Here is a 22,376-nt window from a genome sequence, read left to right on the forward strand (position 1 = left end):
CCGCCCTCCACGCTCCGCCCCGCCCTCCCGGCCCCCGCCTGCGCCCGCGCCCTGGGCTGGTGCCCGCCACCCCAGCGATCTCATACTGGCCCCTGGGCGCACGGTGACCCTGCGGCTGCCCGGCCCCTGCCTCCGCCCGCGCGGCCCCCTCGCTCAGGTCGCGGGCGCCCGGGGCCTGGCTTCGCGTGGGTCCTGGCTCCTCCCGTTCCGCAGTTGGTGCCGTCTGACAGCCCCTTCCGCGCGGCGCGGCGCGGCGCGGCGGGTGTCGGGCGGGGCGCGGGCCTCCGGCCTGAGGCCCGGCGAGGTGCTGGAGGGAGCGGGGCGCGGATCCGGCCCAGATGGGCAGCTCCGTCCGCGGGGTCAGGGCCGGGCTTCGGCTTCACCGCAGCCTCGCCTGAGCGGGCGCCTCTGAAGTGGAGGGCGGGCCGCCTGGGCCGCGGGCCTCGGGAGGATGGTGGCGCCCTGGCGCGTCTCCGTCAGGGTTTGCCTGTCGCACCTGAGGTGCTTCGAGCTCAGACAGGGACTCAGCCTCCTGAGGCCCTCCGAGTGCCCTCGCGATGCCAGGCTCTGCTGGCTTCTGCTGGGCACTTTGCCCAAGGTCGTCTCCCTGTGCGGGGACGTGGGTGAGGGGGCCCCTGACGTTCTGAGTCGGCGAAGGGTCCGCTGCAGCGGGGCGGCTGGCGCGGGGCCCGCGGAGAGCCTCCCCCGAGCGGGACCTCTGGGCGGCGTCTTCCTGCATCTCCGCCTCTGGCTTCGCGCCGGCGCTCTGTTGGTGAAATTCTTCCCCCTCCTACTCCTCTACCCCCTCACCTACCTGGCTCCCAGCGTCTCCACCCTCTGGCTCCACCTGCTTCTGAAAGCCACCGAGACCTCAGGCCCAACCTACATCAAACTGGGCCAGTGGGCCAGCACCCGGCGCGATCTGTTTTCGGAGGCTTTCTGTGCCCAATTTTCCAAGCTGCATGTCCGAGTGACGCCCCACCCGTGGACTCACACTGAGCGCTTCCTTCGGCAGGCTTTTGGGGATGACTGGGGGAGCATCCTCTCTTTTGAGAACCGGGAACCTGTGGGCTCAGGCTGCGTGGCCCAGGTGTACAAAGCATACGCCAACACTGCCTTCCTGGAGACTGACAGCGTCCAGAGACTTGGCAGGGCCTCCTGTCTGCCGCCCTTCTCACATACTGGGGCAGTCGGTGGGCTGAGAGAGCTCTTTGGATACCTTGGAAATGGCCGGAAACCTCCAGAAAATCTCGCAGACCAGTCGTTTCTAGAAAGGCTGCTCCTCCCTAAAGCTGACCTGGTTGGATCAAATGCAGGGGTGTCTCGGGCTCAGGTCCCTGGCCACCAACCTGAGGCCACCAACCTCATCTCCGTGGCAGTGAAAGTAAGTGTTGTGAGAGCTCACAGCTCACCTACCCACTGAGCTATCCCAGATCAGAAACAACCGCCATGCAAATCGCCCCCACGTTTATTTCTATTTGCCTGACCAATATCTGAGTGCTTATTTCATGCAAGCTGTTTCATTTATTGGCTTGAAGTGGCGGTGTGAATAGTCTGATAGAGGAAAATGAACTGAGTCTGGAGTGAACTAACTGCTTGGGTGTCGGGACCACATCCTCTTTTCTTTGATAAGAAGCCACCTGGCTCTTGCTTGGATGGTGGGACCCAGCCCTGGCTGGGTAAAATGTGTCCAGCAGGTTTCTCCTGTCTCACGGTTCCTCTTTCTGACAGGTGTTGCACCCTGGCCTGCTCGCTCAGGTGCATATGGACCTGCTGCTGATGAAGATTGGCAGCCGAGTCCTGGGAGTTTTGCCAGGCATCAAGTGGCTTAGCTTGCCTGAGATTGTGGAGGAATTTGAGAAGCTGATGGTCCAACAGGTGAGTTCTCCTCCCCTCAGCTGTAAATAGCACCTAACATAGTTCTTGCCATTAGCTGCTACTTAGTAAATGTTGAATGAATAATTTTCTGGTATGTCATAACTCATGTGATGTGTTAGAGCTGGTAACACTAGCTGATAAAGAACATCCAAATCTCAGTGGCTTAATGCAACAAATTAATTTTTTGCTTATATCAAAGTTCTGGCCGGGCGTGGTGGCTCATGTGTGTAATCCTAGGACTTTGGGAGGCTCAGGCAGGTGGATCACTTGAGGCCAGGAGTTCGAGATCAGCCTGGCCAACATGGTGTAACCCTGTCTCTACTGAAAATACAAAAATTAGCTGGGCGTGGTGCTGCATGCCTGTAATCCCAGCTACTCAGGAAGCTGAGGCATGAGAATTGCTTGAACCCAAGATGGAGGTTGCAGTGAGATGACATCATGCCACTGCACTCCAGCCTGGCGACAGAGTGAGACTCCATCTCAAAAGAAAAATAAAAACAAAAAACAAAGTTCTATGCAGGTGAACTGAGGCAGAGAAAGGGAGCTCTTTATTTTATTATTTTAAAAACAGAGACAGGGTCTTGCCATTGTTGTCCAGGCTGATTTTGAACTCCTGGGCTCAAGCCATTCTCCCTCCTCGGCCTTCCAAAGTGCTGAGATGACAGAACTAAGCCACCGTACGGTCAAGAGAGGGAGCTCTACTCCCTAGTTTCAGGGGACTCAATTTCTTCCCAAGTTTGGCACTGCCTCCTTCAACATGTGTCATCTGGGGTCAGTGTGGATTGGAGGCAGAGGCCATGCAGGGTCATGTAATAAATTTTGTGGCCAGGCCTGGAAGTGGCAAACATCACTTCTTTCCTGTTCACTGATCAGAGCTGTAACTGCCTGGGCCCAGTGTAACTGTGAGCTTGGGAAATACAGTCTTCCTTTGTGACAAGGAAATGATTCTGGTGGAGAACATCTAGCATTATTTCTGCCATAATCAATGACTCCAGAGTGAGAAAATAATTAGCAAAGTCACATACTGTGCCTTTGTTCTGCTTTGATTCCAGGGCAATTGAGTCAACAAGGACCTCCTTCATGCTCAGGGCCCTTGGGACCTTTGTATAAGGATACAGACTTAGCAAACACACTGGGGTGGTCGGGGCTCCACTTAGGTACCTGTTGGCTCCTTGTTGGGTAGTGCAGGAATTGGGAGGTTTTCAGAAGCAACCTGCCGAGTATTTGTTTGGAGGCTCTGATTTAAGATTTTAAGTCCTAGGGATTCATTCCAATGTTTAGAAAGTCTCTTAGTCTGTTCGGACAGAATCCCATAAACTAAGTAGCTTACATACAACAGAAATGTATTTCTCGAGGTTCTGGAGGCTGAAAATTCCAGATCAAGGCATCGGCAGATTCGATGTCTGGTGAGGCCCCACTTTCTGGTTCATAATTGGCACCTTCTGTGTCATCACATGGTAGAAGGGGTAAGGGGTCTGTCTTGGGTCTCTTGTGTAAAGGCGCTGATTCATTCATGCAGGCTCTGCTCTCATGACCTAATCACCTCCTAAAGGCCCCATCTCCTAATACCATCACCTTAGGGCTTAGCATTTCAACAAAGGAATTTTGGGGGGACACAAACATTCATAGCTACAGAGCAATGTAATTTGATAATAAAAGCAAATTAAAACAGAGAAAATAGCATCGATTCCAACAACCATCTCTGCATTAATTCCTCTCAGTCCTGCCACTCATCTGAGTTTCAGTTCCCCTTGCGGAAGTCTGACAGACATCATGTGGTTCCATCACTTCAAACTCACATCTCTGAATCACACCCCATTTGTCTTAAAAATCAGCTCTTCCTACTAAGCCTGTGTCCGTCTCTCAGTAGTCCCATCATGTTCCTAGGCTGGAAGCCTTAGAGTTGTGGGTCTGGGTATAGTGTGTGAGTGTCTCTCCATTCATTTATAAGTTTATGTAACAGTGACTAAAAACTCTGTTAGGGCTGGGTGCGGTGGCTCATGCCTGTAATCCAAGGACTTTGGGAGGCTGAAGTGGGTGGATTGCTTGAGGTTAGGAGTTTGAGATCAGTTTGGGCAACATGGTGAAACCTCATCTCTACCAAAAATACAAAAAATTACCTAGGCGTGGTGGTGCTCACCTGTAGTCCCAGCTACTCAGGAGGCTGAGGTGGGAGAATCGCTTGAATCTGGGAGGCAGAGTTTACAGTGAACCATGATCACACCACCGCACTCCAGCCTGGGTGACAGAGTGAGATCCCATCTCAAACAAACAAACAAACAAACAAACAAACAAACAAAAAACTCTGTTAGACGCTAGTAAGCAAAGAAAACAAGTGAGCTTTCCTATCCCTAAGAAAGACAGTCAGGGCCAGGTGCCGTGGCTCACACCTGTAGTCCTAGCACTTTGGGAGGCGGCGTCAGGTGGATCACTTGAGGTCAGGAGTTCAAGACCAGCCTGGCCAACATGGCGAAACACTGTCTCTACTAAAAATACAAAAATTAGCCGGGCATGGTGGCACACGCTTGTAATCCCAGCTACTCGAGAGGCTGAGGCAGGAGAATCGCTTGAACCCAGGAGGCGGAGGTTGCAATGAGCCAAGATCATGCTTTTGCACTCCAGGCTGGGCAACAGAGCAAGACTCCATCTAAAAAAAAAAAAAAAGAAAGACAGTCAGCCCTCTGTCCATGAGTCCTGTATCCCCGGATTCAATAAAAAATGTAGTTAGGTCTGTGATAGTTGCATCTGTATTGAACATGTACAGACTTTTTTTTCTTGCATTATTCCCTTAACAATGCAGTTTAACAATGATTTACAGAGCGTTTAGATTGTATTAGGTATTATAACTAATCTAGAGCTGATTTAAAGTATATGGGAGGATATGCATAGGTTATATGCAAATACTGTGCAATTTTATGTCAGGGACTGAGCCATCTGGTATCTGAGGGAGGCCCTGGAAGCAATGAACCTGAGCCTGGCTGAACCTCAGCATGGTTCATCAGGGCTCAGAGGAGGACTTGGTTGGTGTCCTTAGCTTGAGCTGAGTATTGAAAGGTGACTGGTGTTTGCAGTTGGACCAAGTGGGGGAATAACATTCCAATTCGAGGCAGTAAAGAAGCCAGAGGAGAGCCGGGGGTGTTAGCCACTCTGGGATGTCGAGCACTATATGGAGTTGGGTGAGGCCAGGTCTTGGGTGGTAAAAGGCAGGGGAAGGTGCCATGAGAGATGGACCTGGACAGAGAAGTAGGGGCCAAATCATGACCCACCTGGATGCCATTCTAAGGAGTGCAGACTTCACCATGCAGGTAATGGATTGGAGAGGAAGGATGGGTCAAGGAGCACACTCGAGGCACCTCTGTTTGTGCTCAGGTGACTGGACCTGAGGGCATGCGCCTTGGGAGTGGCATTGGGGGACAGGGACTGATCTGAGGGCGGTGAGGCTGCAAACTTGATGGCATTGGGCCATTGCTGTGCACGGAGGGGAAGAGAGAAGGCATGATCTGGGGACTCAAAGGTGACTGAGTGCGTGGGGATGGTGAAGGGAAATTCCATTTAGGCACAGAGCTTCAGGGTCTCTGGGCTCCCACCGGGCCACATCCAGGTGTCATTGGATATATCACTCTGGAGACTGGCATTGAGGTCTGACCTGGGGATCAAGGTGCTGTCAGAGGAGGCGCCGGCTGAGGGCTTGGTGGCTGTCAAGGGGACACACACGCTCACTTCGGTCAGGAGAAAGGACATCAGCTCCTGGGGGCACAGGAGACCCAGCCAAGACAGGACAGCGAGAGGCAGCAGGGGTGCCAGGAGAGTGAAGGGCAGGTGCCGGGGGAAGAGCCATCACGGAGAGACAGGTCAGCAGCGGCACCAGCCCTGGATGCCCACAGAGGTTGATGATAAACCTGGAAGTGGTCCTTTGGGTCTGGTGAGTGGTGGTTGGGGAGAGTAGCAGTGGCAGTGTCGATGCGGTGGGTGGAGAGCTGCCGCGAGATGAAGGGGTAGCCCTGTGTGGAAGCGCCCACAGCACGCTGGCCCTAATGGAAAGAGAGGGCTGGGGGCTGGCCTGGAGAAGCCAGACCCCAGGGAGACGGGGAAGGGACTCATGGGCTGGTGTGAGGCAGGCGGGTGGCAAGGGCGAGAGTAGCAGAGAAGCAGTGCAGCCCAAAGCCCACCAGGGCACCTGCCGTCTGCAGCCTCCAGGAGTTCACACAGAGATCTGGGATTGCTGGGGCAGGCTGTAGCCCACGGATGTCGCCTCCTGAGTTTCTGGGCAAGTTCTGCGGGGCAAGCTGGTGGGGAAGGTGGGGTGGATCTCATGACTTGCTAGCTCCTTGGCATTGCAGATGTCACTGTGCCTGTACCCAGACTAGCCCTCATCCTTTCTGTCCATTTCTCTGTAGATTGACCTGCGTTACGAAGCTCAGAATCTAGAACACTTCCAGGTCAACTTCCGGAATGTGAAAGCCGTCAAGTTCCCCACCCCTCTGCGCCCCTTTGTCACCAGAGAAGTCTTGGTGGAAACGTATGAAGTAAGAGTGATGGCTTTGCCTGGCCATACCTTTCACTTGCCACTCGCAGTGGGCCCGTCTCCAGCCCACAGAAAGGCTTCAGTCTGGAGAGAGGATGGGATTTGTGTCTGTAAAACTGTGAGGAGCTGGGATGTGTTGGCCTCGGCGGGAGGCAGTGTTGGAGTGAGGTAGCTGAGAACACTGGGTGTGGCCCGATCCCCTAGATTTGAAAATCTGCTCTGCCATTTTATTAGTTGGTGACCTGCCTTAGAGGATTGTCTCAGGAGTAAATGACACACTGAATGCAAAACAAGGAGTTGGGCACAGAGAAAGTGCTGAACAACCTTGTGTCATCTCACTTGCCCTAGCTATCCTCTACTCTAGTTCAGCCTTCTCTCTCTTTTTTTTTTTTTTTTTTTTTTTTTTTTGAGATAGAGTCTCACTCTGTTGCCCAGGCTGGAGTGCAGTGGCATGATCTCAGCTCACTGCCACCTCCGCCTTCCAGGTTCAAGTGATTCTCGTGCCTCAGCCTCCCAAGTAGCTGCGATTACAGGTGTGTGCCACCACACCTGGCTAATTTTTGTATTTTTTAGTAGAGATGGAGTTTTGCCGTGTTGGCCAGGCTGGTCTGGAACTCCTGACCTCAAGTGATCTGCCTGCCTTGGCCTCCCAAAGTGCTGGGATTACAGGCATGAGCCACTGCACCCAGCCCAGCCTCCTCTTTACAGATGGTGATATGAGATTCAGGGAATCTCATGAATGTGACATGAACCACACAGTGTTTCTAGCTGTGTGAACTTGAGCAAGTTGCTTAACCTCTCTGGGCTTTGGTTCTTTTATTTGTTAATTAGGGATAACAAGATCTATCTCCATGGGTTGTTTTGACAATTTTTTTTTTTTTGAGACAAGGTCTTGCTCTGTTGCCCAGGCTGTGGTACAGTGGCATGATCTCGGCTCACTGCAGCCTCCACCTCCTGGGCTCAAGTGATCATTCCACCTCAGCCTCCCAAGTAGCTGGGACCATAGGCACGAGCCACCATCCCCATGTCCGACTAATTTTTGTATTTTTCTGTAGAGCCTGGGTTTCTCCCTGTTGCCCAGGCTGGTCTCAAACTCCCAAGTTCAAGTGATCCTCCTGCTTTGGTTTCCAAAAGTGCTAGGATTATACGTGTTAGCCACCACACCTGGGTAATTTTTTTTTTTTTTTGTAGAGATGGGGGTCTCCTTACGTTGCCCAGACCCCTATTGGCTGATTCTTGCCCAGAAACCAGCTCTCTGGTGCCCACCCCTATCTTTTCAGGACATCACATCTCTTATCTTCAGTAGCAGAGTTGATAGGTTTCCTTTTCAATAAACCTATGTGACTTGTCATCCTTCTGATAGCTGTTATAGAAGGGAATGTAAATAAGTTCAAATCAATGTGTGGATGACAGATTTTTGTTTTGTTTTGTTTGAGACAGAGTCTCTGTCACTCAGGCTAGAGTGCAGTGGCGCAATCTCAGCTCACTGAAGCCTTGACTTTCCGAGTTGAGGTGGTTCTCCCTCATGTTGTCCAGGCTGGTCTTGAACCCCTGGGCTCAAGCAATCCTCCCAAGGTGCTAGGATTACAGGTGTGAGCCACTGCACATGGCTGAATGACAGATGGGTTCTAGGAAAGGAAATACTCTTTGGGTTACTTCCCAATAAGTGAGAAGACAGCGCTGTGGTGCCACGTGGGAGGAGGAGCCAGCATCACAGGCTGGCTGGGATTAAGCTGTTCTCTCCCTGGTCTTTCTGAAGGAGAGTGTGCCTGTGTCCAGTTACCAGCAGGCAGGAATTCCCGTGGACTTGAAAAGGAAGATTGCACGGCTGGGGATCAACATGCTCCTGAAGATGGTGAGCTCATGGCTGGAGCGGGCTCAGGCCCAGCATGTGGTCAGCTTGCAGATGGGGAGTGGGCTGGGACTCTGGCTATCTGGGTGGGAAGGAGAGCGAAGCAGCAAGCCGCCAGGTTGAGAAAGTCTGGTCTAGAAAGAGTGGAGGCTACCATAAATGGCCATGGTGTCTGTGAAGCTCTTTTATTTTTTTTTTTTTGAGATGGAGTCTTGCTCTGTCGCCCAGGCTGGAGTGCGGTGGCGTGATCTCGGCTCACTGCAAGCTCTGCCTCCTGGGTTCACGCCATTCTCCTGCCTCAGCCTCCCAAGTAGCTGGGACTACAGGCGCCCGCCACCACGCCTGGCTAATTTTTTGTATTTTTTTAAGTAGAGATGGGGTTTCATCATGTTAGCCAGGATGGTGTCGATCTCCTGACCTCATGATCCACCCGCCTTGGCCTCCCAAAGTGCTGGGATTACAGGTGTGAACCACCACACCCGGCCTTTTTTTTCCTTTTTTAAGATAGGGTCTCACTCTGTTGCCGAGGTTGGAGTGCAGTGGCAAAATCTCCATGAACTACAGCCTCAACCTCTTGGGCTCAAGTGATCCTGCCTCCTCACTCCTCAGCCTCCTGAGTAGCTGGGACTACAAACATGAGCCACCAAGCCTGGCTAATTTAAAAAATTGTTTTGTAGGGACTTACTATGTTGTCCAGGGCAGTCTTGAACTCCTGGGATCAAGCGATCCTCCCACCTTGGCCTCCCAAAGTGTTGGGATTACAGGCATGAACCACCATGCCCGGCCTCTTAAGTGCTTTGTCAGTGGCTCATGCTCTGTGTGCTGTGAGAAGAAGGGTGACCATGACCCAGTTCTGCCAGCATTGCCTGTAGTTTAGCAAACAGCTGAGACAATATCTTATTTTAAATGCTGCTTTGCTCATTTGTTCAGCAAATGTTTATTGAGCACCTGCTAGGTGCCAGGCACTGAATTAAGGGCTGGGGTTACAGCAGTGAGCAAAACAGACACAATTACAATGCTCGTGACATACTATTCCTTGGGAAGATAGGTGACGACTAAGTAAATGATTTATAGGGATAGGTACGGGGTACCAAAAGGTCATTTCGGAGGAGACTGTGCTAACCCAGGGATTCACTCAGGAAGTGGCTCCATCTCAGCTGCAGTGTGAAGGTCTAGGTGTCACTACATAAGGACAGGTGGCAGGGAGTTGTCTAGAGAGAATAGCCTTTGCTGAGGCCTGGGGTGAGCTACTGCATGGTGCTCTTGGAGAGACGAAAGCACTTAGTATGGCTTGGAAGAGAGTTTGAAGGAGGGGGCAGTGATTGCTGAGGCTGAGGAGGTGAGAGGAGGCTGAGGAGGTGAGAGGGGCCTGACCACAAAGGGTCTAGTAAATCTGTGAAAGAGTTTGGACTTTAATCCAAGGGCAGATAAGTTCATTTTGAAGATTTTTGCCCTTAACTTTAAAAAATTGAATTCCAATAATATTTAAATATAAAGTGCTCAGATCTTAAATGATGCTTAGTGAATTTTTAAAAAGCATCCCAGTGCCCAGATTAAAACATAGGAGAGTTTTGGCTGGGTGCAGTGGCTCACACCTATAATCCCAGCACTTCAGGAGGCTGAGGCGGGGAGATTGCTTGAGCCCAGGGGTTTGAGACCAGCCTGAGCAAGATGCCAAAACCCTGTCACTACAAAAAAAAAAAAAAAAAAATACAAAAATTGGCCACGTTTGGTGGCAGCATGCCTTTAGTCCCAGCTACCTGGGAGGCTGAGGTGGGATCACCTGAGCCCAGGAGATGGAGGTTGTAGTGAGCTAAAATCATGCCACTGCACTCCAACCTCAGATACAATGAGACTCTGTCTCAAAAAAAAAAAAAAAAAAAAAAAGCCAGGCGCAGTGGCTCATGCCTGTAATCCCAGCACTTTGGGAGGCCGAGGCAGGTGGATCACGAGGTCAGGAGATCGAGACCATCCTGGCCAACATGGTGAAACCCTGTCTCTACTAAAATACAAAAAATTAGCCAGACGTGGTGGTGCATGCCTGTAGTCCCAGCTACTCGGAATTGCTTGAACCCAGGAGGCAGAGATTGCAGTGAGCCGAGATCACAGCACTGCACTCCAGCCTGGCGACAGAGCGAGACTCCGTCTAAACAAACAAACAAACAAACAAACATAAAGAGACATAGGAGGTTTTTATGCTGAGGAATGCCCTAATGTCACAACCTCATGTCCACTGTGTGGAGTTGGAGTGGGAGGGTGAGACGAGAGGCAGGGGAGTCAGAAGGTGGATTTTGATTCTTGGACATTTAAACATGTTCAAGTTCTCCAGCTCTCACCACATGCCTGGGTCCTCCCTACCATGATTCTTTTCCTCTGAGACCCGGGTATTCTTCCTCCTAAGAACCTGGGTTTCCATCTCCTAAGAATTCTTGGTTGGTTTTGTCTTTCCTGTGTCTACCAGCGAGGATTCTGAAGGCCCCCCAGCTGAAGAGGGGCCTGGCCGCATCAGGAGGGCATTCTTTGTTTCACAAAGGCCAGAGCCGTGGTTTACAACAGGGTGGTTTTGTCTACCAGGGGACATCTGGCGATGTCTGGAGACATTCTTGGTTGTTATAGTTGGGGGTTGGGGGTGCTACTGGCAGCTGTTGGGAAGAGGCCAGGAGCTTACCACCCCAGAGTGCAGGGACAGCCGTCCCCACCCCCAGCAATAGACTGAGAAACCCTGGGCTGGAGGGATGGAGAAACTTACAGGCACAGGGACAGGATTTGATGGTGCTTCCATGGGAAACCTTCTATTTCCTTGTGAACTAAGGGGCCATTGTTCTCTGCTGGGAGTAGGATGCAGAGGGCCATGGGAGAGGAGGTTTAAAGAGAACACAGAGGTTTGAAATTGCTGCCCTGGGACTAGAAAGAGCTACTTGGAAAATGTGGATGGTTGTCAGGAGGGGCAAGCCATGTTGGTGTTGGAGAGGCAGAGGGGTATTTTGCCTATCTGCAGTGTAGCCTGGGGGTTAGGAGCCCAGAGCAGGATTTGTTTTGAGTTCAAATCTCAGCTTCCAGTTTACTAGCTCAGGGCAGAGAGGAGTGTCTGGGGCAAGTTACTTAACCTTTGTCGTCAGGCTTCTTATCTTTCAAAAGAGGATAAGAAGTGCCTTCCTCATAGGGTCACCATGATGGTTAAAGGAGTGGAAATTCCTAAGGAGCTGCAGTGAGTCCTAAGCCACGCTAGTTATGGCTGCCTTCGTTGGCAGTAATCGTGACCCAGCATTGTTAGCAGCCCCCATGCAGGAGATCTTAGATTGTCGGGGGTCTGGACTTTCTGGTGGTTGGGACAGAGGACAGTGGTTGAAGGGATGGATGACAGGAATGGGCGATGGGGTCGAGGCGGATAGGGAAGAAGAATACCCAGGTCTCAGAGGCGAAGAATCATGGTAGGGAGGACCCAGGCATGTGGTGAGAGCCGGAGAATGAATCGAGGAGTCAGAGATCGAGCTGTTGGTGGAGGCACGTCTGGAGTCCCCGCAGCAGGGGCGCTCAGAGCAGGTGGAGTCCTGCAGGCTGACAGCACGCACGCACATGCGGAAGGCTGAGAGCCGTTGTGGGGGTGGGCTCAGGTGACACCACTCCAACCCTAATTCCACTCCACCCCAGGGCCTGTGGGATGGGGAGTCAGCAGCTCCCACCCCTCTGGCTCCTGGAGAAGCAGGATTGTTGAGGCACACCTAGGTTTCAATTCAGTAGTTGCAGTCAGAACCCGGTGGCAAGAGGACTTTGTCCACAGGAACAGGGCTCCAAGGGGCACAAGAGGGATGTAGCCAGGGGAGAAGCACCATGAAGCAGCACCAGGAGTGGAGCGAGGATGAGGGGCCTCCAGTTTTGGGGTCAGGATCGGGGCATGAGACCCTGGGCAGAGCTGAGGGCAAGGTTCCAGAAGATTCAGAAACTTAAAAAAAAAAACAACTGAATTATAGCAACATTCAATAAAGTGCATAGATCTTAAATTATGCTCAGTGAATTTTTAAAAGTATACTAGGCCAGGCATGGTGGCTCACTCCTGTAATCCCAGCACTTTGGGAGGCTGAGGCCGGCCGATCACTTGAGGTCAGGAGTCTGAGACTAGCCTGGCCAACGTGGTGAAACCCCGTCTCTACTAAAAACACAAAAAATTAGCCGGGTGTGGTGGTGCACACCTGTAGTCCCAGCTACTTGGGAGGCTGAGGCAGAAGAATCGCTTGAACCCAAGAAGTGGAGGTTGCAGTGAGCCCAGATCGCACCATTGTACTCTAGCCTGGGCAACAGAGTGAGACTCAGTCTCAGAAAAAAAAAAAAAAATGTATACCAGGGCCAAGATTAGTGACCTACTTAGGAGGCACCAGCTTCGCTGGAGGGTCAGCCCAGCCTTTGGTGACCATGTCCTGCAGGTGTGCAGGTCCCAGCCCCCCAGGTCCCAGGATTTTCACACCGGTAGCAGCTTCCCTTATCCCTACCAAAGCCACAGTCTGGACTAGGACAGTCCCTTCATGGTCTGCCGCCATAAGGGATGGGGTCTATGGCCTGGATTTACAGGGAAGAGGGGATCTACAGTGCTTGGGGCCCCATGTCAGCTGGAAGCAGTCCCTGAGAGCCCGTCCACCAGCAGCTGCTCTGCTCCTGCCTTGGTCTCTCCTCTCATCCCCCGTGGAAGGATTGCTGGGGTTTCCCTGACCTCCGAGATGACCGGTTATTGGAAGCTGATTCCTGTTCCACAAGCCGTGCCAAATCCAACACAATCCCTGGGGGTTGCTGCCCAGCTTAGCAGGTTCAAAGCCGTGTCCTTCCTGCTCCTCTAATTCTGCATACCAGTATGTCCTGAGAACTGTGTCCTCCTCCACAGAAGGGCTCTGTGTGCATGTGGCTGCTAGTGGCACTTGCTCTCACACCTCACTGATGTGGACAGGTTGAAGTAACGGAGGGAAAGTCTGATTTATGAGCTGTTTTTAAAGAAATGCAGTTCTATGAGTTTAAAGAACATAGAGGTTTGGGGAAAATCTTTAATAAATAGCTAATTATTTTAGTTAGAATATTAATGATTCAAATCATAAAGTAAAAATAAGGCATTTCAAATGCAGTTTGGCCTTAGACTTTTTATTTTATTTATTTATTTATTTTTGTTATTATTTTCTTTGAGATGGAGTCTCGCTCCGTCGCCCAGACTGGAGTGCAGTGGCACGATCTCGGCTCACTCCAACCTCTGCCTCCCAGGTTCAAGCCATTCTCCTGCCTCAGCCTCCCGAGTAGCTGGGATTACAGGCATGTGCCACCATGTCCAGCTAATTTTTGTATTTTTGGTAGAGACGAGGTTTCACCTTGTTGGCCAGGCTGGTCTTTAACTCCTGACCTCAAGTGATCCGCCCACCTCAGCCTCCCAAAGTGTTGGATTATAGGCGTGAGCCACCACACCCGGCCTTATTTATTTATTTTTACAAGACAGGGTCCTGCTGTGTCACCCAGGCTGGAGGGCAGTGGCATGATCATAGCTCTGTGTAACCTTGAACTCCTGGGCTCAAGTGACCCTCCTTCGTTGGCCTCCCAAAGTGCTGGGATTATAGGTGTAAAGCCACTGAGACCGGCCCCTTTATAATCTTTTAAAAATGCTTTTTACTTTGAAAATAATTTTTCTCTTGAAAACTTTAACTTAGCTCATCCTTGTACAAATTCTGAGTTGACATCTAAACAAGAAGGGTCTATAGGACATGCACCTCTTTGCGGCTGTGATAGAGTGCTGGGAGCTTATTGTCACCTGGCAACTTTCTTTCTCTGTAGGTTGGTGGTGCTCTAGGGGCGACTCACTCATGAGCATTGTGATCTCCTTCCAGATATTTGTGGATAACTTTGTCCATGCAGACCTTCACCCTGGAAACATCCTGGTTCAGGGTGCCAACGGCCTGTCCTCGAGTCAGGAGGCGCAGCTGCAGCAGGCGGACATCTGTGACACTCTGGTGGTGGCCGTGCCATCTTCCCTCTGCCCGCTGCGACTGGTGCTGCTGGATGCTGGCATTGTGGCGGAGCTGCAGGCCCCTGACCTGAGGAATTTCCGGGCAGTTTTCATGGCTGTGGTGATGGGGCAGGTGAGACGCACTGGGACCACAGAAGTTGGGGTGAATTTTTTTTAATTAAAAGAGCTGGTGAAGCATGGTGGCTCAGACCTGTAATCCCAGCACTTTGGAAGCCTGAGCGGGGAGGATTGCTTGAGCCCAGGAGTTCAAGGCCAGCCTGAGCAACATAGTGAGACCCTGTCTCTATAAAAAATAAGAAAATAGGCCAGGCACAGTGGTTCACGCCTGTAATCTCAGCACTTTGGGAGGCCAAGGCGGGTGGATCACCTGAGGTCAGGGGTTCGAGACCAGCCTGGCCAACACGGTGAAATCCTGTCTCTACTAAAAATATAAAATTAGCCAGGCATGGTGGTGTGTACCTGTAATCCCAGTTACTTGGGAGGCTGAGGCAGGAGAATTCATTGAACCTGGGGGGCATAGGTCGCAGTGAGCTGAGATTGTGCCACTTCACTCCAGCCTGGGTGAAAGAGTGAGACTCCATTTCAAAAAAAAAAAAGAAAAAGCCAGGCTTGGTGGTGTGCGCCTGTGGTCCCAGCTACTTGGGAGGCTGAGGTGGGAGAATCACTTGAGCTCAGGAGTTTGGGGCTGTGGTGAGCTAGGATTGCACTGCTCTACTGCAGCCTGGGTGACAGAGTGAGATCTTAGTTTTTTTTTTTTTTTTTTAAAGTTTCAAAAAATTAATGGAGATGGGTTTTGCTATATTGCGCAGGCTGCCTTGGCCTCAAGCCATCCTCCCATCTCAGCCTCCTGAGTAGCTAGGACTACAGGCTGGGCAGGGGGTGAATCTTTTATACTCTGGGGAATGCCTCTGTCTCTGTCTTTTTTTTTTTTTTGAGACAGAGTCTCGCTCTGTCACCCAGGCTGGAGTGCCTTGGCGTGATCTCAGCTCACTGCAACATTCACCTCCTGGATTCAAGCAATTCTCCTGCCACGCCTCCTGAGTAGCAGGGATTACAGGCACATGCCACCATGCCCGGCCACTTTTTGTATTTTTAGTAGAGATGGGGTTTCACCATGTTGGCCAGGCTGATCTTGAACTTCTGACCTCAGGTGATCCACCTGCCTCAGCCTCCCAAGGTGCTGGGATTACAGGTGTGAGCCACTGCACCCAGCCAGAATGTCTCTGTCTTGAAACAGGACAGGTCTCCTTAGCCCGGTCATTCTTGTCAATGCTCACACTTGCCAGTGTGCCAGAAACGAGTGGAGGGAGGCAGGAGGACAGGAGGCGAGGCTGCCCTTAAGGGGCTTTCTGTTAGCAGGTGCTGGGTGCAAATCAGGCCAGTTCTGAGTGGCAGATGGTTTGGGACTGTGGGAAGAAACAAGTGCTGTTTCGTGTTAGTAGTTTCTGGTCCTTCTCCAGCAAACATCCAGCTGGTCAGCAGGAATGCTGGCTTCTTGACCAGATAATGGCTGCCCCTGGTGTGTGCTACCTGCTGCAAGGTGGCAGGCTGGTGAGATGCGACAGCATAGAGAACACAGCCTCTAAGTGGGGCACAGCATGCTGGCACGTCCGATGTGGGGACATGAGTAGTTTTTGCAGCCTCCCCTGTGATTCTGAGGGTCTGCAGTGGTTGAGAATGATTATTTAGAGAAAAGGCATTCGGCAAGGCCTCTGCAGAGTCAATTGAAAGCACTACGTCGTGGGTGACTCTGAGGAGGCCCTCTGGCCGGCTGGCAAAGAATTCTCCAGCAAGAAAAACACTGGGAAAAAGAGAACTGTTTTTTTTAAAAATTAATTAATTAATTTTTTTTTTTTGAGATGGAATCTCACTCTGTTCCCTGGGCTGGAGTGCAGTGGTACGATCTCAGCTCACTGCAACCTCTACCTCCCGGGTTCAAGTGATTCTCCTGCCTCAGCCTCCCAGGTAGCTGGGATTACAGGTACCCACCACCATGCCCGGCTAATTTTTGTATTTTTAGTAGAGATGGGGTTTCATCATGTTGGTCAGGCTGGTCTTGAACTCCTGATCTCAGGTGATCCACCTGCCTCGGCCTCCTAAAATGCTGGGATTACATGTGTGAGCCACTGCATCTGGCTCTTTTTAAAAAAAAATTTTTTTTTTTTAAACAGCAAAATGCAGGGCAGTCCCTGCCTCTGAGAGGGCAAACCCAAAGCTGGGGCCTGCAGCTGGTTTGAAAGTGTCCCCTGGGCCAAGGTTAAGCACTGAGGCGCAGTGCAGCGGGGGTGGGGGCATTCCTCCCTATAGGTATGGGCAAAGGGAAAAGGTCACAGCCCGAGGAGGAAGAGCCAAAAGCAAGATGCCAGAAAAGTCAGGGTGGAGCTGCTGAGATGAGAAAGACGCTTGGGCACCGCATCCAGGTTTATGCTAGCTCCACTCCAAGTCCCTTTTCCGTTGCATTTTCCAGGGCCAGAGAGTGGCTGAGCTGATCCTGCATCATGCCCGGGCCAGCGAGTGCAGGGACGTGGAGGGGTTCAAAACCGAGATGGCCATGCTGGTGACCCAGGCCAGGAAGAACACCATCACCCTGGAGAAGGTGGGCAGGTCACTTGCGGAACAGGGGCTGGGGAGTCCATACCTGGCCTGGGGCAGAGCAGATCCTGGGTCTAAGGGAGACCTCTTTATGAGGGGTGTGAGTTTTAAAGCAGAAAAAGAACCACCCCACATCTTCCAGGCATGAGGAGCCCCAGTGAAGTCCGTTGTGCTCAAGGGGGCCTCCTTGTGCGGTGCCACTTAGGAGGCTGCAGCTCCTTCCTCATCCAGGGGTCGCTGTTCATTTGGGGACAGCCAAGCATACAGGGAGGGAGGACTGTGGTCTCCAAGCAGCCAAATGATGTGCCCAATGCGCATGTCCCTTATTTAAACCCAAGCCAGAGCCTGCTTTGTATTTTATACACAGTTCTAGCAAATGTGACTGTTTTATCCCCAAGTTCATGGCCACATTAGCAGGAATGGGTCAGACAAGGAGTGGCCACTGGCACGCTGGCCCTGCTGATAGTCTATCCAGGTGTGATTTTTTAAAAATTTTTTTGAGATGGAGTCTTGCTGTATCACCCAGGTTGGAGTGTAGTGATGCTGTCTCGGCTCACTGCAACTTCCACCTCCCGGATTCAAGCGATTCTCCTGCCTCAGCCTCCCGAGTAGCTGGGATTACAGGCACCCGCCACCACACCCGGCTAATTTTTATATTTCTAGTAGAAATGGGGTTTCACCATGTTGGCCAGGCTGGTCTCGAACTCCTGACCTCAAGTGATCCGCCCGCCTTGGCCTCCCAAAGTGCTAGGATTATAGGCAGGTGTGATTTTTGTGGTTGCTTCAGGGATGGGGTGGGTGGGGCTCAAAGGCTTGTCTTCCAAAGGCCTCTGTGACCGAGTCTTGAGGTGGAGTTGGGCTTGTGCTGGAGGAGTCCTTTCAGAGTTTGTCAGATGGTCCCTTTTGTGCTGACTGGTGTATGTGTGCCCTGGCGGGGGAGTGGGGTGGGATGCTGGGGCTGAGAGTGTGGGGGTGGTGGGAAATGAGCGGTTCTGGAAGGCTCGGTGGTCTGCATTAGCCTTTATTTTGTTTTTCCAGCTTCATGTGTCCAGCCTTCTCTCTAGTGTCTTTAAGTTGCTGATGACTCACAAGGTGAGGGCCATTCAGAGGGGAGGTCTCTGGGGAAGGTGGGACGGGGCAGGGAGGAATGGGAGGACACAGGGTGGTGGGAGGCGCTTCTATTATATGGTTCTTGTTTTTTGTTGTTGTTTTTCTTTTTTTTGAGACAGAGTCTCACTCTGTCGCCCAGGGTGGAGTGCAGTGGCGCGATCTCGGCTGACTGCAGCCTCTGCTTCCTGGCTTCCAGTGATTCTCTTGCCTCAGTCTCCTGAGTAGCTGGGATTACAGGCTCCCACCACCACGCCTGGCTAATTTTTGTATTTTTAGTAGAGACGGGATTTCACCATGTTGGCCAGGCTGATCTCGAACTCCTGACCTCAGGTGATCCACCCTTCTCGGCCTCCCAAAGTGCTGGGATTACAGGCGTGAGCCACTGTGCCCGGCCTATTATATATTTTGAAAGCATTTTTAGTAACAAGCCATTTGCAACAAGTGCTTCGTAGCTGTTAGTCTATCTGTCAAGTCAGTGCAGTCTAAGTATCTGTGACATTTAAATGTAGAAAAGTGTATTTAAAAATGTAGAAACAGCCTACCTCTGGCTTTTCATGTCTTTCCCTCCTTGGTTCACTTTCATGATGCTTGTGTTAATGTAAGTCATGCTTAGCTCTTTCCTGGTGGAATGAAGTCCTGGGGTCCAGAGGCCGCTCTAGAGGGTCATGCCTTGTGTCCTGGTGCTTTCAGAGGCCCTAGCGGGACTGCTGTGGCCCCTGCCTGGCTGCTGTAGTCCATTAGAGGGAGCTGGCCTCATGGTTCATCTTAGCCTGTGCCCCGGCTCTGTCGCCTTGTCATGGAGCCTAGTCTCCGGCACTCTTTAAACTAAGGCTGCTGGCCAGGGACAAGCAGTGTTGAAGGTGGAGAAGGGAGGACCTCGTTGGAAGATGGCCTTTTCCATTGCATTACTTAACTATATGACATCTATTAGTAACCAATTTATCCCCTCAGTCTTCCAAGAGGCAGGCACCAAAGCCGAGAGGCCGAGCAGCTCACCTGTGGCCATGTGGGCAAGCCCCCGCCTGCTGCTGGGTCCTCCCGCCTCCGTGGCTCACTCTGAGCATCTGCTCCCCACACAGTTTCCAGCACGGTGGGTGAGGGGCCTTGAGTGTTTGCTGCTGCTGCTGCTGTTCCCAGGATGGAAGAGGAGACAGAGGGCCTAGGGCAGCTACTGCACTCCAAGCACTTCACTAGGCACTTAAGTTTGAAAACATTTACAAATTTTTCATTGTGATGAAAAACACATAAAATTTAACCCCCCAACCCTCTCCAGATGCATAGTGTTAGCATTGTGCAACAGATCTCTAGGTCTTTCTCATTTGGCAGAGCTGAAACTCTACAGCCATTGACCAGCTCCCCATTCCCCTCTCCATCCGGCCCTGGGAACCACCATGCTGTTTTACGTTTCCATGATTTTGGCTACTCTTGATATTTCATATAAGTGGAATTATAAAGTATACTGTCCTTTTGTGATTGGCTTGTTTTACTCAATATAATGTCCCCAGGTTTCATCCATGTTGTAACATGTGACAGGATTTCCTTTTGAGACAGGGTCTCACTGTGTCACCGAGGCTGGAGTGCAGTGGTGCAAGCTTGGCTCATTGCAACCTCTGCTTCCTGGGTTCAAGCAATTCTCGTGCCTCAGCCTCCCAAGTAACTGGGATTACAGGCAAGTGCCACCATGCCCAGCTAATTTTTGTATTTTTAGTAAGAGATAGGGTTTCGTCATGTTGGCCAGGCTGGTCTCGAACTCCTGACCTCAAGTGATCCACCTGCCTTGGCCTCCCGAAGTGCTGCGATGACAGGCGTGAGCCACCGCGCTTGGCCTGTTATTCTGTTGATGCTGTTGATGTTCACGTGGGTTGCTTCCACTTCTTGGTTATAGTGAATAATGCTGCAGTGAACATGAATGTGTAAATATCTTTTCAAGATCCTACTTTCAAATTTTAGAAAAGTTTTAAAAACATTTAATGTAGCCAGTAAGGTCTATACATTGTGTTCTTGCTTTCCAGTTTTTAAACATATGCCCCAAAGTAGGTTTTCTGGATCATATGGTATGTTTTTAGTTTTTGAGGAACTTCCATAGGAGCTGTACCATTTTATATGCCCACCAACAGTACACAAGGGGTCGTTTCTCTCATCCTCACCAACACTTGTCATTTTCTGTTTTGTTTTTAGTGGCCATCCTAATGGGTGTGAGGTGATGTCTCATTGTGGTTTTGATTGCATTTCTCTACTGATTCATGATGTTGAACATCTTTTCATATGCCAATTGGCCATTTGTATAATATATCTTCCTTAGAAGAAATATCTATTCAGGTAGCACTTAATTTTTTTAAATAAAGTATTTGACAGTAACACAGAGATAAAGGAATCTAATCCACACTAAGAACCCCCCACCCAGCTTCAGAATGAAAGCATTCCCAGAGGTGTTAGAGCCCTGGGTTCCCACCCGGACCAGAGCCTGTGTGGCCAATCTGCCAGGCTGGAACTCCACAAGCTGCTCCTGGGAGCATGCTGCTGCTTCTGGATCCACCTGACCCCGACAACCTTCCAGCCCTTAACGGAGACAAATACTCTTTAATTTCTAACAAAGAATATTTCCCATGATTCAACCTTCCATTTCTTGACCTTCTGTCCACTTAAAAAGCAGATTCCTGTTCTTCTAGGTTTACATCTGGCTCTATTCCTCCTCACTCAGTGGCCTTGAGCAAGTCATTGAACCTCTCTGAGCCACAGCTTCTTTCTCTATAGAATGGGGATAACGATGATACTTTTGAAGAATAGTTGAAGAATCCATGTCAATTGCTATTACTACTAATCTGGCTCTGAAGGGACAGCTGTACCCTGTTTGAGCAGTCAATTGTGTGTTGTCTCTGATTTTTTTTATTTTTTTGAGATGGAGTTTCACTCTGTTGCCCAGGCTGGAGTGCAGTGGAGCCATCCTGGCTCACTGCAAGCTCTGCCTCCCGAGTTCAGGCCATTCTCCTGCCTCAGCCTCCCGAGTAGCTGAGACCACAGGCGCCTGCCACCATGCCCGGCTGATTTTTTGTATTTTTAGTAGAGGCAGGGTTTCACTGTGTCAGCCAGGATGGTCTCGATCTCCTGACCTCATGATCCGCCCGCCTCGGTCTCCCAAAGGGCTGGGATTACAGGAGTGAGCCACCACGCCCGGCCTGTGTGTTGTCTCTTAAAAAGGCTATTGTAGACCAGCTGACATGGCTCCTGCCTATAATCCCAGCACTTGGGGCAGCCAAGGTGGGAGGATTGCTTGGGGCCAGGAGTTCGAGATCAGCCTCGTCAACATTGCAAGACCCTCTGTTTACAAAAAAGAGTCCCAGTCTCAGGAGGCTGAGGCAGAAGGATCCCTGAAGTCCAGGAGCTCAAGGCTGCAGTGAGCTATGATCTTGCCATTGCACTCCAGCCTAGGTGACAGAGTGAGACCCTGTCTCTAAAATAAATAAATAAATACATACATACATAAAGGTTACTGTAGGTTTCGAAGAATTACCTGTATTTAAATGTATAGTTTCTGGGATGTGTGTGAAAGATTTATTTGGTCATTCATTCATACACACATGGACACAAACCTAGAAAAGTATATTCCGCACCCCTAGATTTTTCCTTAGTGTGTCCAGTAGATGGGAGGCTGGGCGAGTAGGTGAGATGGTTGGGGAGATGACGCGGTAGAGAAGAGAATGTCAGGTAGATGGTAAACATCCCGTGGGCAGGTCTGAGGGAGGCTGAGAGTGGACAGCAAGGTGATTATCCAGAACACACGTCCCTGTATCAGCATGTTCTGAGATGAACTGTTCTGTTTTTCTGTTCCAGGTAAAGCTTGAGAGCAACTTTGCCTCCATTGTGTTTGCCATCATGGTGTTGGAGGGGCTTGGCCGCTCACTGGACCCCAAACTGGACATCCTGGAGGCAGCGAGGCCCTTCCTCCTCACGGGCCCAGTGTGCCCCCCGTGATGGGGCAGTGGCCTCTGTGGGCCCTTGTCAAGAGCTGGAGGCCACTCCCAAGAGCCTCTCCTATGGCAGCTGGGACGTTTTAAAATTGGGACACCAATTTCAAATGTAACCCTCCAGTGGTGGAAGGCACACCATGGCTTCCTCTGCTTGGTTTGAGGGTCTGTTCAAAAGCTTTGGGCCAATTAGGGAGTAAAAGGAGGGAAGGGGCCTATCCATTCCATTGTGGAAGCTGGGCCAGGTGCCAGGGACACTCTCCTTCAGGGAAAATGTTATGTGGAGGAGGACGAATAAATTTATTTTGTTTTCCTGTTTTTCTCATTTCTTGACCCGCTATACTCCCTGGTCAGATGGGTACTGCTGGTAGTTCCCAGACTTTGATATTCAGGTTAGAAAATGCCATCAAGTCCTACTGATCTGTGGCATGTGCACACACACACACACACACACACACT

General features: G+C 51.0%; 1 protein-coding gene across 3 annotated transcripts, besides 4 other annotated features; it reads left to right on the forward strand.

Moving 5' to 3' along the window:
* Nucleotides 1-460: a silencer, noted in NCBI's record as "silent region_18715". NCBI's record gives its function as "represses an Ori minimal core promoter by ATAC-STARR-seq in GM12878 lymphoblastoid cells {active_cell/tissue: GM12878}" and the evidence as "EXISTENCE:reporter gene assay evidence [ECO:0000049][PMID:35858748]".
* Nucleotides 66-22,231, forward strand: ADCK2 (aarF domain containing kinase 2). Of its 3 annotated transcripts, NM_052853.4 has the most exons (8): nucleotides 66-1,384; nucleotides 1,732-1,878; nucleotides 6,276-6,404; nucleotides 8,163-8,258; nucleotides 14,111-14,362; nucleotides 16,718-16,846; nucleotides 17,881-17,934; nucleotides 21,784-22,231. In NM_052853.4, exons 1-8 carry the CDS (start codon nucleotides 452-454, stop codon nucleotides 21,922-21,924), a joined length of 1,881 nt encoding a protein of 626 aa, NP_443085.2. In that variant the 5' UTR covers nucleotides 66-451; the 3' UTR covers nucleotides 21,925-22,231. The 3 variants fall into 3 exon arrangements, with proteins under 3 accessions (NP_443085.2, XP_006716233.1, XP_011514977.1); XM_006716170.5 differs by lacking the exon at nucleotides 14,111-14,362; XM_011516675.4 differs by lacking the exon at nucleotides 8,163-8,258.
* Nucleotides 3,316-3,505: an enhancer, noted in NCBI's record as "active region_26783". NCBI's record gives its function as "activates an Ori minimal core promoter by ATAC-STARR-seq in GM12878 lymphoblastoid cells {active_cell/tissue: GM12878}" and the evidence as "EXISTENCE:reporter gene assay evidence [ECO:0000049][PMID:35858748]".
* Nucleotides 6,012-6,512: an enhancer, noted in NCBI's record as "H3K4me1 hESC enhancer chr7:140378691-140379191 (GRCh37/hg19 assembly coordinates)". NCBI's record gives its function as "activates a minimal SCP1, AML or CMV promoter by ChIP-STARR-seq in primed H9 embryonic stem cells {active_cell/tissue: H9 hESC(primed)}" and the evidence as "EXISTENCE:reporter gene assay evidence [ECO:0000049][PMID:30033119]".
* Nucleotides 16,784-17,284: an enhancer, noted in NCBI's record as "H3K4me1 hESC enhancer chr7:140389463-140389963 (GRCh37/hg19 assembly coordinates)". NCBI's record gives its function as "activates a minimal SCP1, AML or CMV promoter by ChIP-STARR-seq in naive H9 embryonic stem cells {active_cell/tissue: H9 hESC(naive)}" and the evidence as "EXISTENCE:reporter gene assay evidence [ECO:0000049][PMID:30033119]".
* Nucleotides 22,232-22,376: the final 145 nt, after the last annotated feature.

The sequence above is a fragment of the Homo sapiens genome, chromosome 7 (genome assembly GCF_000001405.40).
Source record: "Homo sapiens chromosome 7, GRCh38.p14 Primary Assembly".
Taxonomy (NCBI): Eukaryota; Metazoa; Chordata; class Mammalia; order Primates; family Hominidae; genus Homo; species Homo sapiens.